This window comes from Homo sapiens, chromosome 2 (assembly GCF_000001405.40).
Source record: "Homo sapiens chromosome 2, GRCh38.p14 Primary Assembly".
NCBI lineage: Eukaryota > Metazoa > Chordata > Mammalia > Primates > Hominidae > Homo > Homo sapiens.
In genome coordinates, this window is record NC_000002.12 from 36,704,410 (window position 1) to 36,719,465 (window position 15,056).

General features: G+C 43.3%; 1 protein-coding gene and 1 long non-coding RNA gene across 13 annotated transcripts in view; one reads left to right on the top strand and one right to left on the bottom strand.

Moving 5' to 3' along the window:
- Positions 1 to 15,056, bottom strand: part of LOC124905990 (uncharacterized) — a 118,030-nt gene that overhangs the window by 15,001 nt on the left and 87,973 nt on the right. The gene's annotated exons all lie outside the window — the stretch shown is intronic.
- VIT (vitrin) overlaps positions 1 to 15,056 on the top strand; it is a 118,088-nt gene that overhangs the window by 7,703 nt on the left and 95,329 nt on the right. For all 12 annotated transcript variants that reach the window (NM_053276.4, NM_001177969.2, NM_001177970.2 and 9 more), the window contains exon 2: positions 11,944 to 12,013. In NM_053276.4, the coding sequence (NP_444506.2) occupies positions 11,962 to 12,013 (52 nt within the window). In that variant the 5' untranslated portion in view covers positions 11,944 to 11,961. The remainder of the gene's footprint in view (positions 1 to 11,943; positions 12,014 to 15,056) is intronic.

Sequence of the window (15,056 nt, forward strand, 5' to 3'; positions counted from 1 at the left end):
AAACTTCCCAGGAAGAAGAGCAAAGGGATCAATCCCGTCTCATTTAACAGGCCGCTATATATCCAGGCCAAAATAGTCAGGGGGCCCTGCAGGAGAGTCTGAGGGCTCCTTCAGAGCAGGGATTGTTCCCAGGAAGGCCTCTGAAGTAGGACATTAGGTGGTTGCCTTTGGAGAGCTGGGTCTCCTGCTTCTAAATGACTCTGTTTCTACTGGTCCCTGGAAATTCCTGAGGCTTAATCCTCCACAGCCCTCAATTCCTGAGCCACAGACACCATCCTCCACACCCTCCGTTTTACCCAGGTCTCTGGTTGCTGGGATTCAAGAATGTGCTTCTGAGAGGGAGCCCCATGTCTGCCTCTCAGAACTCTGTCATCTGAGAGGAGCCCATTCTCTACCGAGCAGCAGAGGGGAGGGTGTGGATCTTGCAGACGCACCCTCATCTTCCTTCCTATCTCAGCTGGAAAGTTTTGCCGGACCTGAGAATGTTTTGCTGTGCTTCAGAATTGAAGGCAGACCAAAAAGCACAGAGTGTTCAGGCTAGTCCAGGCTCTAGGGATCATAGTTGAGCAGAACCAAACACCCAGCTCCAAATTCACAGTAGACGGCCCTTTGGCAACTACAAACCTCAAAGCCCAAAGGGAAGAACGGGGAGGAGGCAAGGCTAATCCACAGTGTCAAACACATTAGGCAAAGAAGTTTGTGATGAGAGAAACTCATCTTCCAAAGCTTCATGAGAATCTTTAAACCACTCACGGTTTCCAGGGTAACTAAGAGGAGCAATCATGGCCCACCTCGTCTTTTTGAGGTCCTAGCCTCTTTCCTTTAGATTTACTGATCTTCGTGCCCCTTTCCATTACACAGGATAAATAACTCTTGGAAGGGGTTCTTTAGAGCTCATTTGGGGCATGCCTGCAAACTAGTATTTTTTCCCACTGGCAATATAAGATCTAAACTACCACTTCAGAAATGTAATTACTGTTTGCAGTGTCTCTAGAAATCACCATTGGTCGAAGCCTTTGTGGATGTGGTAAGCATTACCATATGTCAGGTTCCTAACACAGTACAAAATAACCGTCTGAAACACAAGACCAAAAAAGGCTTTCCCTTTTTGGTTTTCTGACATGTAGAAACATGCCACATGGATCAACGAACCTAATGGCACGGGCATACATCAGCTGTGTACATGGATGAGGTCTTAAACCCCACCCAACTGCCCATGAGGAAACATCTTTGCTGCAGGATTTTCTCTAACTATTGGTGGTGAAAGGTGATCCTGGAGAAGGGGATACACATTCTAGTTATCACAAAAGTACATAGAATATTTATGGGAAGTTCCTAGATTGGAATGTCAGTAAGCATAACGTTCTCATAAATACATCGAGAAATAAACATTCTCATAAATCAGTTTCTCAGCCCTGGCGCTATTGGCCTGTGGGGCTGAGCACTTCTTTGTTGTGGAGGCTGTCCTGGGCATTGCAGGATGGTCAGTAGTATCTCCACTCTGGCCTCCACCCACTAGGTGCCAGCAGCATCCCCCTCTCTTGTCAAAGTTGCGACAACCCAAAAAGTCTCCAAACACTATTATATGTCTCCTGCGGGACCAAATCACCTCTGGTTGTGAACTACTGTCATAAATATATGAGGAAACTCTACAGCAACATTCTGACAGCATGGTTTCAAGGTCACCCACTTCCACTTTTTATTTCCTGATTATCCTGGACCTTCTCAGTGGCTGCGACAGCTCACAGGATTTCTTGCCACACTTCTTCCCAGAGCTTGGCTTCAGGGTTGGCGTAGCCTCTCTAGGGACCTTCTGCTTTGATGCTACCAAAAGACAAGCACATGTGTCCTTTTCATTTTGAGTGTTTTCATTTTACTACTGATCATTTCAGGGGAACAGGACATAACTAGAACAATAAATATGAGAAGGGTTTTAATTAAAGCTGCAGGAAACAGAAACCAACTTAAACTGGCTCAAGTCAAAGGCTCAAAAACATCAATATCATGCACAGGAGACAGAGTCCAGCTGGACCTTCTTCAGACTGGAAATAGAACCTGGAAAGTGGTGAGAAATGAAGGGATCTTCTCCCCCTGCTCCTCCCAGGGCCACACACTTATTCTCTCCATCTCTCTCTGCCGTCCTCTTATACATCTTATTCAGGGCCCCATATGACCTGCAACTTGGCGCTCACAGCTTTTGAAGCTTTCAGAATCCCGATTCCAAAATCCCAGGGGAGGCCTCAATTGGCTTCAGTTTCTTTTTTTGCTAGATCACAAGCTTTTGACCAGCTGAGTCATTTACATTTCAGTGACTGTCATCTCTGCATCTGACAATAATAATTGAGCTGCTTCAGTTGTAGATGTAACCAGGCTTTGAAAAGTGAAAAGTACTATGCAAATGAAGAGTGGCATTTTTATTTTATTATAGCATTATAGAACAAATCATAGAATCATTTGAAACTTACAGTGACAACCATGTGAGGAGTTGGCAGGGTAGAAAGTGCGCAATATTAAGTTGGAGACCTGGGCTCTGTGACTTTGGCCAAGTCACTTCCCTGCTCTGAATTATAGGAATTATAATGTCCATTTCACCTCCTCAAGGGGCTCTTCGGTGGTTCAAATGAGAAAACAGTTTAGTGAGAAAACTCTCTGCAGACTCTGGTATAAACCCCTATTATTATAGCCTTCTCTAGTTAAAACCACTGTATGGACGGCCACTGCGAGTTAGGTAGCAGTTAGGAATAATTTTTCAGCTGCCAGCCAAGTGAAAGGGAAATGTATTATCTCACATAACAGACAGTCCAGGGGCAGGCCCAGCCCCCAGGCACAAGACAAATCATAGCTCTGACTCATTTCTCTGTGATTTGCCTGGCTGCCCTCCTCCCCTCGAGTTAGCATTTTCCTCGGCTGGACTTTTCTCGTGGTCACAAGATGGCAGCCAGCAGACCCCCAACAACCTGCCCCCTTGTTCATTTCCAACAAGAGAGGCACCCTCTCCCCAAAAAACACAGGCTTCAGGTCCTTCCATTCTGCCTGTTACAACCCAGGACACAGCCCACCTGGACTAGTAACTAGTACAATCACCTGGCAAGGGCCTGGTGCTGATGGGCCCAAGCCTGGAGCAATTGCCAGCAAGCGGGGATGTTTAACCATCCTTGCCTTATGCCTCGAATTGGGATCTGCCCGGGAGCTGTGGATGGACCCGCTTCCTCTCAGTGGCCGGGCTGCACTGATTTCCTTTACCAAATCGGGATTCTGTTAGGAAGGAGGAAGGGGAAAACGATGCTCTGCGTAGGCCACCAACAGTGTCCATCCAGTCCACGTAGCCTGACTCGGAGTACATCTTCAATAGCCTTGTGCATTCTTAGGAACCACCATACTGAGAAAAGGCAAAATTTCCCCTGCCTTCCTTACCTACTTGGCTCACATTTTCTGCCAGAATTTCTTTAGGAAAAAAAAAAAAAAGGGAAGTAAAGAAGAATTGGGAAGAGAAGAAAAATCAAGAAAGAAAGAAAAACTACTGTCCCCTCTGGCACTCTCTCTCTCTTTCACAGAATCCTGGGGGATTGTAGTGATGACCCTAAGGTGGCTGCTGGTGTTGTGGCAACGGGAAATGCAGTGTTTCAGACCTCAGCCAGAGGAATACATCTGTATGAAGGTTTATGTACAGATAGAGGCCACCACCACATTGTAAAGGACCTCCCCCCCCCGCCCACCTAGTGCCAGCTTCCTTTTCCCGTCCTCACCAGATCAACCCACATCCACTGACAAGCGGAGGAGGCTTTACGGTCAGGCAGAGATGAAGAAAGCAAGGCTGCAGATGTGGCCTCTCCCCATTCAGAGATGTCTGTCCCCAAGGGATTTTTGGCATTTTGGAAACACAGCACAAGCCTCTTATAACTCGTAAATGTTTCCAGATGGATACTGGCTCTTTCTACCTCATGGACAAAGAGTATGGTTGGGTGCTCCCCGATGTAGCATTGTAGATCAGACAAACACCAACATTACATAAATCCTACATGTCTGCTAGGGCAGATTTTTTTCCAAGCGAGTGGCTCAAGTAAGCCTCTAGGGGGCTTATTAAAAATGATGAATGCAAAAGTAATTTTTAAGCCCTCCATGTCTCCCTGTTGCCTAAAGGATCAGTTCCACATTCTTTAGGCATGACATTCAAGGCTGACATGGCCCTTCATCCCTCTCTGACAGTCTGATTCCTCTCCCAGCCTGGCTGAACAACTCCCAGTTCTGAAGCTCCTCTGTCGCTGGGTCCTGTCCTTTCCTGTTCACTCATTCATTGTTTTCCAACCTGCCAATTAAAGAAATTTGAGCCCCTCCCAGTCCCCACGTTTCAGGCGTATGTGCCCATCCACCCTTTTGCCATCACTGCACCCCTAGCAGCAGAGGTTCCCAATGCTGTCTGCACAGTAGAGTCACCTGGAAAGCTTTAAAACAATATTGGGCCAGGCACAATGACTCACACCTGTAATCCCAGCACTTTGGGAGGCCAAGGCGGGCAGATCACCTGAAGTCAGAAGTTCGAGACGAGCGTGACCAACATGGTGAAACCTCATCTCTACTAAAAATACAAAAATTAGCCAGGTATGGTGGTGGATGCCTGTAATCCCAGCTACTTGGGAGGTTGAGGCAGGAGAATCGCTTGAACCCGAGAGGTGGAGGCTGCAGTGAGCCCAGATCACGCCACTGCACTCCAGCCTGAGTGACAGAGCGAAACTCCGTCTCAAAAATAAATAAATAAAACAATATCGATGTCAACTCAGGTCAATTAAATTAGAATGAAGATGGAGTAAGTGCACGTACTATGAAACAGCTATGGCAAGGGGAGAAATGCAGAGCTTCTGGACTCAGAATGTTTGAATCCAGCTCCTCTTCTTCCTAGCCTTGGAAAGTCCGTAACCTTTGCATGCTTCCAATTCCTTACCTCTAAAATGAAAGCAAGAAATAGTCTCTACCTCATCGGGTTGTTGTGAAGATTAAATGAGTTAATATATTACTGACACTTAGTATATGTTCAGCAAATGTTAGTTATGATGCATGCATGCCAGTCTCCCGCAGGAAGACTCAAAACAACTTGATGCCAGGACCTGCATCTTGTTTCTGCCTGGCACATAGTACGTATACTTTTATTTTTTAATGATTAATGGATGCATGAAAGAAGATGAATTTTGGTTTTAGGAAATCAGGGTGATTTATGTAGAAGAGGTGGCCCAGGAGCTGAAGCTTGAAAGATGGATGGGTTTGTGGTGAGGGTTGGTAAAGCAGTCCAGATAGAACAATAATGTGAATGTGAGCCAAGGTACTGACATGCAGAGTGTGGAGAAAAGACCAAAAGCCCAGGTGTGCTGGGGTCAAAAGAGAGGATTACTCAGGAGAATTGCAGTGAGGTGGTGTTGAAAGGGAAGGCAGGCCATTTCATGAAGAGTTTGTAATGCCTCACTAAGGAATTTGAGCTTTATTCTGTAGAGAATGAGTGGACTATGAAGAAGAATTCTGAACAGGTGAATGCACAATCAGACCTGTGCTTTAGGAAGCTGATCCTTTCCAACTGAAAGAAAGAGTGACCTGGAGCAATGAGCAAGAGTGAGTTAGGAGACTGCTGCAGCTTCCCATTTGAGATCAATATTGTCTGTATATGTTAAGTCTTCCTAACAGACCACATATAATGAAGCTCTGCAGACTCTATCTGGTTTATGTTAATTGAATCACTGCTAAATTTGGTGGTGGAAGTGATAATGATAACAACAATACTTCTTAAGTGTCCCTTTCAATTTCAAGAGTTTTTTCATTATTTCATTTTTGTATTTTATTAATATTGGATTTATTAACATATACGCACAGGGTAAAGATTTAAATAGGACAAAATGGTAAGACTCCTTCCCGTCTCTGATCACCACTTACCCAGTTCTCTTTCCCTGATACAACCACTGTTAGTGGGTTCTAGTGAAAACGCCTCCTACTCTCTAGGCATGAAGAATATATATATTTAAAGTATAGAGTCTGATAAGTTTTGGCATATGAATACTGTGAAACCATCACTACATCAAGATAATGAACATATCCATCTCCAAATTTTTCATGTGTTCCTTTGCCATCTTTTACTTCTGCCCTTATGTCTCCAGGACTCTCCACTCCCACTCCCCAGGCTCCTGGATACCACTGATGTGCTCTTTGTTACTATAGAGTACAGTTTCTGATGCAGTGTAATGATATGAATGTAAAATTGAAGGGAATGTACTCTTTTCTGTCTGACTACTTTCATTTAACATAATTATTTTGAGATTCATTCATATTGTTTTATGTATCAATCGTTCATTCCTTTTTATTGCTGAGTAGTATTTCATTGTATGGATAAACCACAATGTGTTTATCCATTTATCTGTTGATAGATTTTGCATCGTTCCCAGTTTGGAGCTATGGGAAACAAAGCTGTTAAAAATACACATGCAGAAGTCATTGTACGGACATATACTTTCATTCCTCTTGGGAAAAGGCCTGGAAGTGAAATGGCTGCAACATATGGTGGGAATATATTTAGCTTTTTAACTTTTTGAGATACTACCAAACTGTTTTCCAAAGTAGTTGTACCATTTTACCTTCCTGTTAGCAATTATGCCAGTCCTCCACATCCTCACCAACACTTGGTAGTACGAGTCTTTTTAATTTTAGTCATTCTTTCTCCAGGTTGCTTTTGCATGCATTGCCACATTCAATTCCCAATGGACTTGCTCTAATTTTTACACTTCCTGGTCACCAGTGCTGAACATTATCAAGTGTCTTCTTCTTGCTGTGGTCTTTATTTTCCCTGCTTAAATTACTTTTCTCTTTCTTTGCCTTTTTACACTTCCTCCACATTTGACAAAGTGCATTCTTCTCATACATCTTTAACTGATGAGTAATTTGCCCCTTATCTGTAAATCTCAAGCATTTTGATACAGAGATTTAAGAAAAGTCCATTTTGCTTTTTCAGTCTTAACAAGATGCAACCTGCAGATTGTCTTAGACACAAGGGGTAGAAAGAAGGGTGCAGGATCAGGAGCCATGAAACCCAGGCTTGACTTTGGGTATGTGACCTTGAATAAGTCACTTACCCACTGCAGACCTCAGTTCCCTTATCTTTAAAATGGGAATTGTGCATACTCCACATCCTGCACAAGTGTACTGTGAAGAACAAGTTTGTATTTACTCACTTTCCCAACAAACGTGTATCGTTGTGCCCACTACCAAACACTATTCCAGGCTCTAGAAACTGAACAGTGAACAAAATAGACAACTCTAGAAATGCACACGAAGTCGCTTTATTTAAAACTCTGTGAAAAACTATATAAATATAAAGCAATATTATTATTTATTACCAACTTGCTCTCTTCTAACTGTGGGCAGAAAGAGAGATCTAATGAAATTTGTTGTGCTAAACCACTTACACTAATGTATACTCTTTTTTCACAACCAGGCTTCATTTGCCTCACCAGAACTACATATTTGGGATTCTTTATGTTATATCTCATGGCACAATCCATAAATTTGTGAATCAGTAACACATTCTTTTGGAAGCCCCTATTGTTCAGTTTTTGTTAGAACCCGGGTGAGCCCATGAGGAATTAGGGCTCCAGCGTTGCCATGTGCCCCACAGCTCTGTGACATTGGACTGCCTGCAGAAACTGCTTAATGGTGCTGGTGGCAGTCCTCATGCTCAGCCTTGGCAATGGCTGAGAGAGGGTTTGATTTTTTTTTTCACACATTTCAAAAGGCACATTTACATTTTAAGTGCTTGAGTAAACAGACCAAGCAAGCGTAGAAATTGCAGCGGTGAGAAAGAAACTTCACGTATTCTAAGATACTAGAGTGATTCTGGTCAGGTTCCATTATTGATAAGCCAACACTTGGGTGAGATCGCGGGGATTAGAGCAACTCCCGGAATCCCGTTGGTTTTTATCCATTCATTCCAGCTTCTAAAGGTCATGTCCATCATGACTCTAAAGTTGGAGGACAGATTTGAGAGCACTTCTCTCTGCTCTCCGCCTTCCCTTTGGGTTTGTTTGTTGATTAACAAAGTATCAACACTGCTTTATTAGTTTTTATTGAGATATAATTCACATACCATAAAATATGCCATTTAAAGTGTATAATTTGGCCGGGGGTGGTGGCTCACACCTGTAATCCCAGACTTTGGGAGGCTGAGGCGGGTGGATCATGAGGTCAGGAGTTCCAGACCGGCCTGGCCAACATGCTAAAACCCCGTCTGTACTAAAAATACAAAAATTAGCCAGGTATGGTGGCAGGCGCCTGTAATCCCAGCTACTCGGGAGGCTGAGGCAGAGAATTGCTTGAACCCGGGAGGTGGACGTTGCAGTGAGCTGAGATTGCAGCATTGCACTCCAGCCTGGGCGACAGAGCGAGACTCCGTCTCAATCAATCAATCAATTAAAGTGTATAATTCAGTAGTTTCTAATGTATTCATAAGATTGTCTTCCCTTTGTTTTGTTTCCTCTTTAAATTTCCTAGGGAAAAGGGAGAGCGCTCATTACTCACACATTGATTCAACACATATTTACTGAGCACCCAAAAACTCAAATAAAAATCCCTGCCCTTTTGGAGCTTGCATCATAGTGGGGAGCACCATAAAAAAATAAAATAAGCAAAGTATAAAGTATGTCAGAAGTGATAAGTCAATGGAGAAGAAGACAGTAGGAAAGGGATAGGGTATATTCATTGGTGGTGGGTGAGGTGGGAGGAGGATTGTGATTTTAAATTGGATAACTAGGGAATGTCTCATGACAGGTAACATTTAAGCAAAGATTTGAAAGAAATGAGGGAGCAAGTCATGTGCTTATCCAGGGGAATGGCATCCAGCCAGAGGAAAAGGTAGTACAACAAGTGCAGAGACCCTGAGGTAAAAGGTGTTCCAGAAACAGCCAAGAGGCCGGTGTGGCTAAAGATTACTAACTGAGCAGGAGAATCGTGAGAAATGAGAACAGAAGGGTCGACGGAGGCCAAATCAAGCAGGGTCTTGAGCCACTTGTAAAGACTTCGGCTTTTCTTCTGAGTAAGACGGGGAGCCACTGTGGAGTGTCAGCCGAGAAATGCCATGAACCAATTTACTTTGAATAGGATCATGCTGGCTGCTCTGTGGACTGCAGAGGACAAAGGAAGAAGGGAACAGCCTAGTTATGAGGCTAATTGCAATAATCTAGGTGGGAGAGGGCAGAACCTACCACAGATGGCATTGGTAATGCTGAGATGCTGAGAAATGGTCAGTTTCTGGATAGACTTTGAATATAGCGCCAACAGGATTGGCTGGTGGAGAGCACGTGGGGTGTAAGAGAAAGAGAAAGAGAAGTCAAGGATAACTCGGATGAAATCTGCAGTGTTGAGTGGTAACAGCCAATTAATGGGGCTGCACAGGTGGGTCCGATAGGACAACTTGGCATACTGCATTTATCCAATAGGAAAGTTAAACACTCAGGCTTGAAGATACATAAATTGTTCTGGAGTTTCTCAAGTTAATAAAATACAAAAAAAGTCCCTGTTATCACACTATTTCCAAAATATAATCTGGCTACTTAAACACCAAGTTGCCAAACAGATTGTAATGTGATTTTGTTTTTATTTTGAAGCTAAAGACGTAACCAGTGGCCAGCTACCTTAATTGGGAAATTTAACACATTGCAAGTGTTGTTGGAAAATAACAAAGTGATCAGTTCTGTTTGGGGTTACTCTTGCTGCTTAATTTAATTGTTTGTAATAAAGCTTTCATATACTAAACAACTTTAAGTTAATTGCATTGAGTACTTGTATATTATCTCAACCCATAATCTAATAATTGCTTTTTATTAATAAATATGCATAGCAGTGTATCAAATATTGGATAGAAGCTTATACTGGGCCTAGCTAGTACTAGATGGTGATTATCTGTTTCTAGATCTCCATTCAGTGATGTCACTTTGGTGGCTTCAAAATCAGCCATGGTAGGAGGATTTGCTACCACAGAAATTGACAAGCTCTGCAGATCAGGGCTTTTATCTCTTGTTTTTTTTTAACCAGTACACCACTGAACACAGCAGAGGGTAGAGTTATGAATGCCAGCTTTGGGCCACACAACCATGGCACTGGAGGGAGGGGGGATATAGTGGAAGCCATCTGTCCAGAGGGGAGGAGTGTTTTACTACCATTGACATTGTTTAAAATTGCTAGCTCATAAGGATAATAAAAAGCAGACCAACTTTAAGTCTTTTCATTCTCCACAAACTTCTCCCTTATTGCCTGTGCCCAGGGCAGATTCCTCCACCCACTTTTACCTCCATTCCAATCCTATTCACCACCTTGGACCACGGTTATGACATTTAACTTCTCTAAGTCTTAGTTTCCTCATCTGTTCAATGAGGATCATAAAACCTACCATGGTGACGTATTGGGTGGATTCAAAACAATACAGAATGCACAGAATATACTCAATTAATAGTAGTATCAGCAAACCTTTGGCAGTGTCGTCATAGCCTTAAGAGAAAGATGAGAAACTCCCTTATGGATCATCAGCATTTTCATATCTATTGCACTCTCCAACATCTGGGTCTCTGTTGGCACTGTTCCCCCACTTGGAGCCACTTCTCTCCTATTTCTGCATGTTCAAAGTCTGTTCATTCTTCAAAGTTGACCCAGTTGCTACCATCTCTATGAGGATTTCTCTTATTCCCATGGCTGCCATAGTCTCTCTCCTTCTAAAATTTCTGGCCCTTGGGGAATCTCTAGCACTACCCCCCACCTACTGGATTAGAACCTGCACTTCAACAAGAGCCCCAGGTGATGAGTAAACACATTAAGATTTAAGAAGCCAACTGGGCTCAGGGGCTCATGCCTGTAATTCCAGCACTTTGGGAGGCCGAGGCAGGTGGATCACAAGGTCAGGAGTTCAAGACCACATGGCCAAGATGGTGAAACCCAGTCTCTACTAAAAATACAAAACTCAGCCAGGCATGGTGGCACATGCCTGTAATCCCAGCTACTTGGGAGGCTGAGGCACAGAATTGCTTAAACTCGGGAGGCAGAGGTTGTAGTGAGCCGAGATCACACCACTGTACTCCAGCCTGGGTGACAGAGTGAGACTACGTCTAAAAAAAAAAATAAAAAAAAAAAAGATTTAAGAAGCCCGACTCAAAACCACTGGTTCTCAAACTTGGATGTATGTTGGATTTACTCGAGAAGTTGTTAAAAACTTAATTAACTAGACCCAAAGCCAAGAGAGACTTATTCAATTGGTCTGGGGTACAGCCTGGGCATCAGAATTTTTTTAAACTCCCAGGTGATACTATTAAATAATATGCAGCAAAGTTTGAGAACCACTGCTCTACAAACTTCCCCTTATACTCTCTTATGAGGCCTTAACATTCTCTTATGCAATTTAACATGGTTATTTGTGTCCACTTATGTTTTTCCACCTATATTAAACTGTAAGTCTTTCAAGGGTGAGAATTGTTTTTTAATTCAATTTTTAGCACTTTCTAACAAAACGTAGCCATATAATAGGAGTTTAATAAATATTTATCGAATGAATAGTGAAGTATTAATAATTGTAATCTAAATATGTTTTCTGAATGCCATAAATGTGGCTTTCATCCTAATTAGAAGACTACTTGGACATATTCTCAAAATTGTAGAGTTATTTCCTCTTCAGTTCTAAGTAAACATCAAATATTTGAAGAATTGGAGGCTGGTGGCCAGAATGGGCTTTCTAACTGAGAATAGCATCTCTGGGTACCAGCAAGGCCAGCCACTGACATCTCTATGTGCTGCTTATGGAAATCTATAGCCTGGAATCGTAAGACTCCAGAGGGCAATGCAAAATGATGCAGTCTATCCCCACACACTCTGTGCATCCAAATCAGAACCCCCGGCTGAAATATGATGACGTTATTGTTTCTTTCTCTCCAGGGTGTCATTCTGATATTTATGAGGACTGTTGTTCTCACTATGAAGGCATCTGTTATTGAAATGTTCCTTGGTAAGTACTTTTATATGTGTATCTGGATACCCTTTTAAAATTTTCCTAAGATCCAAAGAATCTAGCCAAGAAAAGTTTTAAACCAAGACAGAGCATATAAACAATACAGTGTATCATTTTATAAGAAACATTTTGAAGAGATGTTTTAAGTAAGAATGTTAAGCAAAGATCAAATTCAGGATGCATGTGTATGTGTTTTTATGTAAAGCAAATACTGTATATATATTACATATATGTCTTGGTATATTACCTATTGCACACACACATACACACACCTAGCTTGTGTATTCCTCAGCAATTAGCAAGTATTTCAGATACAGCATATTTGCAGATTGTAAATTTAAGGATCTTCTTATTTCTTAATTTCGCAAACAAATGAACAAAAATTCTTACCGCTGACATGGCTCTACCTATAGCATTAGCAACTCACGCTTTTAGAGATGATTCTTTTTTTTTTTTTTTTTTTTTTTTTGAGATAGAGTCTCACTCTCTTGCCCAGGCTGGAATGCAGTGGAGTGATCTCGGCTCACTGCAACCTCTGCCTCCCAGGGTCAAGCGATTCTCCCACCTCAGCCTCCCAAGTAGCTGGGATTACAGGTGCACGCCACCATGCCTGGTTAATTTTTGCATTTTTAGTAGAGACGGGGTTTCACCATGCTGGCCAGGCTGGTCTTGAACTCCTGACCTCGTGATCCGTCCACCTCAGCCTCCCAAAGTGCTGGGATTACAGGCGTGAGCCACCACGCCCGGCCAGAGATGATTTTTTTTTTTTTTTTTTGAGACGGAGTCTCTGTCGCCCAGGCTGGAGTGCAGTGGCACAATCTTGGCTCACTGCAAGCTCTCCCTCCCGGGTTCACCCCATTCTCCTGCCTCAGCCTGGGACTACAGGCTCCCACCACCACGCCTGGCTAATGTGTGTGTGTGTGTGTGTGTGTGTGTGTGTGTGTGTGTGTGTGTGTGTGTGTGTGTGTGTTTAGTAGAGATGGGGTTTCACCGTGTGAGACAGGGTTTCACCGTGTTAGCCAGGATGGTCTCGATCTCCTGACCTTGTGATCCTCCTGCCTCAGCCTCCCAAAGTGCTGGGATTACAGGCATGAGCCACCGCACCCGGCCCAGAGATGATTTTTTTAAAAAGAATCCATTATCACCAGAGTACGCAATCATGGATAGGCCCTTGAAGAGCAGTAGGTCAACTAGAAGTGCTCAACTGAAGTGCTGAGGGGTTCAGGGCCAAGCCCAAGGGTAATCTTCCATTAAGCTTGGCCCCACTGTGCCTTATCAGGTAGAGTAACCCTGTGGAGCATTGTGAAACTACTGCCAGGAAGGAGCACAGAAGCCTTTCAGACAGTCTGTTAGTTTGCCAGGGCTGCTGTAACAAAACACCGCAATCTGGGTGGATTAGGACAACAAAAACCCATTCTCTCCACCCTCTGGAGACTAGAAGTCCAAAATCAGTGTCAAGAGGGTTGGTTCTTTCAGAGGGCTGCAAGGGAGGAATCTGTTCCATGTCTCTCTCCTAGCTTCTGGCTGTTTGCTGGCAATCTTTGGGTTTCTTTGGCCTGTACATGTATCACCCTAATCGCTGCCTTCATCTTCACATGGTATTCTCCCTGTAGTTGTGTCTGTCTGCACATTTTCCCTTTTTATAATGACATCAGTCATATTGGATTAGAGGTACACCCTACTCCAGTATGACCTCATCCTAACTTAACATTATATCTGCAATGAGCCCATTTCCAAATAAGGTCACATTCTAAGATACGGGGGCTCAGGACTTCAACATATAAATTTGAGGGCACATAAATCAACTCATAATATAATGAGAGTGCTTAAGGTCTGTTCAGAGGGTGTGTACCTGGCAGAACTGGGGACTGGAAGAGAAGAAGGTAATACAGCTGGGAAGGCAAGGGGGCTCCAGGCATGGTGGAAGGAGTATTGGACCAGGAGTCAGAAGGAGGATATGGGTTCTAGTCCTGACTCCACCATCAACTTGCCAATTTTGTCAAGTCACTCATCTTCTCAGAGCTTCCTGCAAATTATATGTTTGAGCTATTAATCACCCAACCCTATGTAACATGGCTGCCAGAGACCTAGGGCAGCTCTGTCCAAGCTACTTGTCTCTCAGGTAAGCTACTTTCTCCTGGAGCCAAAGAAAAGGCCACAAACAATGCCCTCTCTTCACTTTGGATAGGTCCTCAAGGATAGCAGGCACTCTCAGGAGCCAGCGGCACTATTCCCTGGCTCCTGTCAGATGGCCATGAGAAGCCCTGAGGAACTTCTAGGTACCTGGACCAGGAGCCCTCCCCCAGCCACTGCTATTATCCTCAGAGACTGGGCAAGTTCCAGGGGTCAACCATCCCAACACTGCCTCTACAATTGCTGTATATGCCTGGCTTACTTTAGCAAACAAAAAAATGGGCTAGCACACTGGGGAACTACAACTTGAAAGCACAAGGTCCTTCATTTCTACCTTGCCCCTTTGGGAGGCTACCTCTCTTTTCATTCTAACATACAAGTTAGTAGGTTTCTAACTTAAGAATGGGTTGAGGGTGGGACAAGAGGTTAGGAATAGGGTTTAGTCGAACAAATAAAACAAACAAACAAACTGAGGCCATTTCACCTTCTGCATGTTCCCAGCATCACAGAACCAAGAAAGGAAGATCTGGCTGTCTTTTGTCCCCTGCCTTTCTCAGCCTGCCCTTGCCCTTCTGGCTTGCTTATTCAGATAGCAAGAAATCAAAGTAGAAAAAGGAGACTCCTATACCTCAACACAATAAAGGCCAGGTATGACAGGGCCACAGCTAATATCATAATCAATGGTGAAAACCTAAAAGCTTTTCCTCTAAGATCAGAAATGAGACAAGGATGCCTACTCTTGCTACTTCTGTTCAGCATAGTACTGGAAGTCCTACCCAGAGCAATTAGACAAGGAAAGGAAATAAAGACATTCAAAGTGAAAAAGAAATAAAATTTCCTCTGCAGATAACATGATATTATATACAGAAAGCCCTAAAGACTCCACCAAAAACCTGTTAGAACTAAC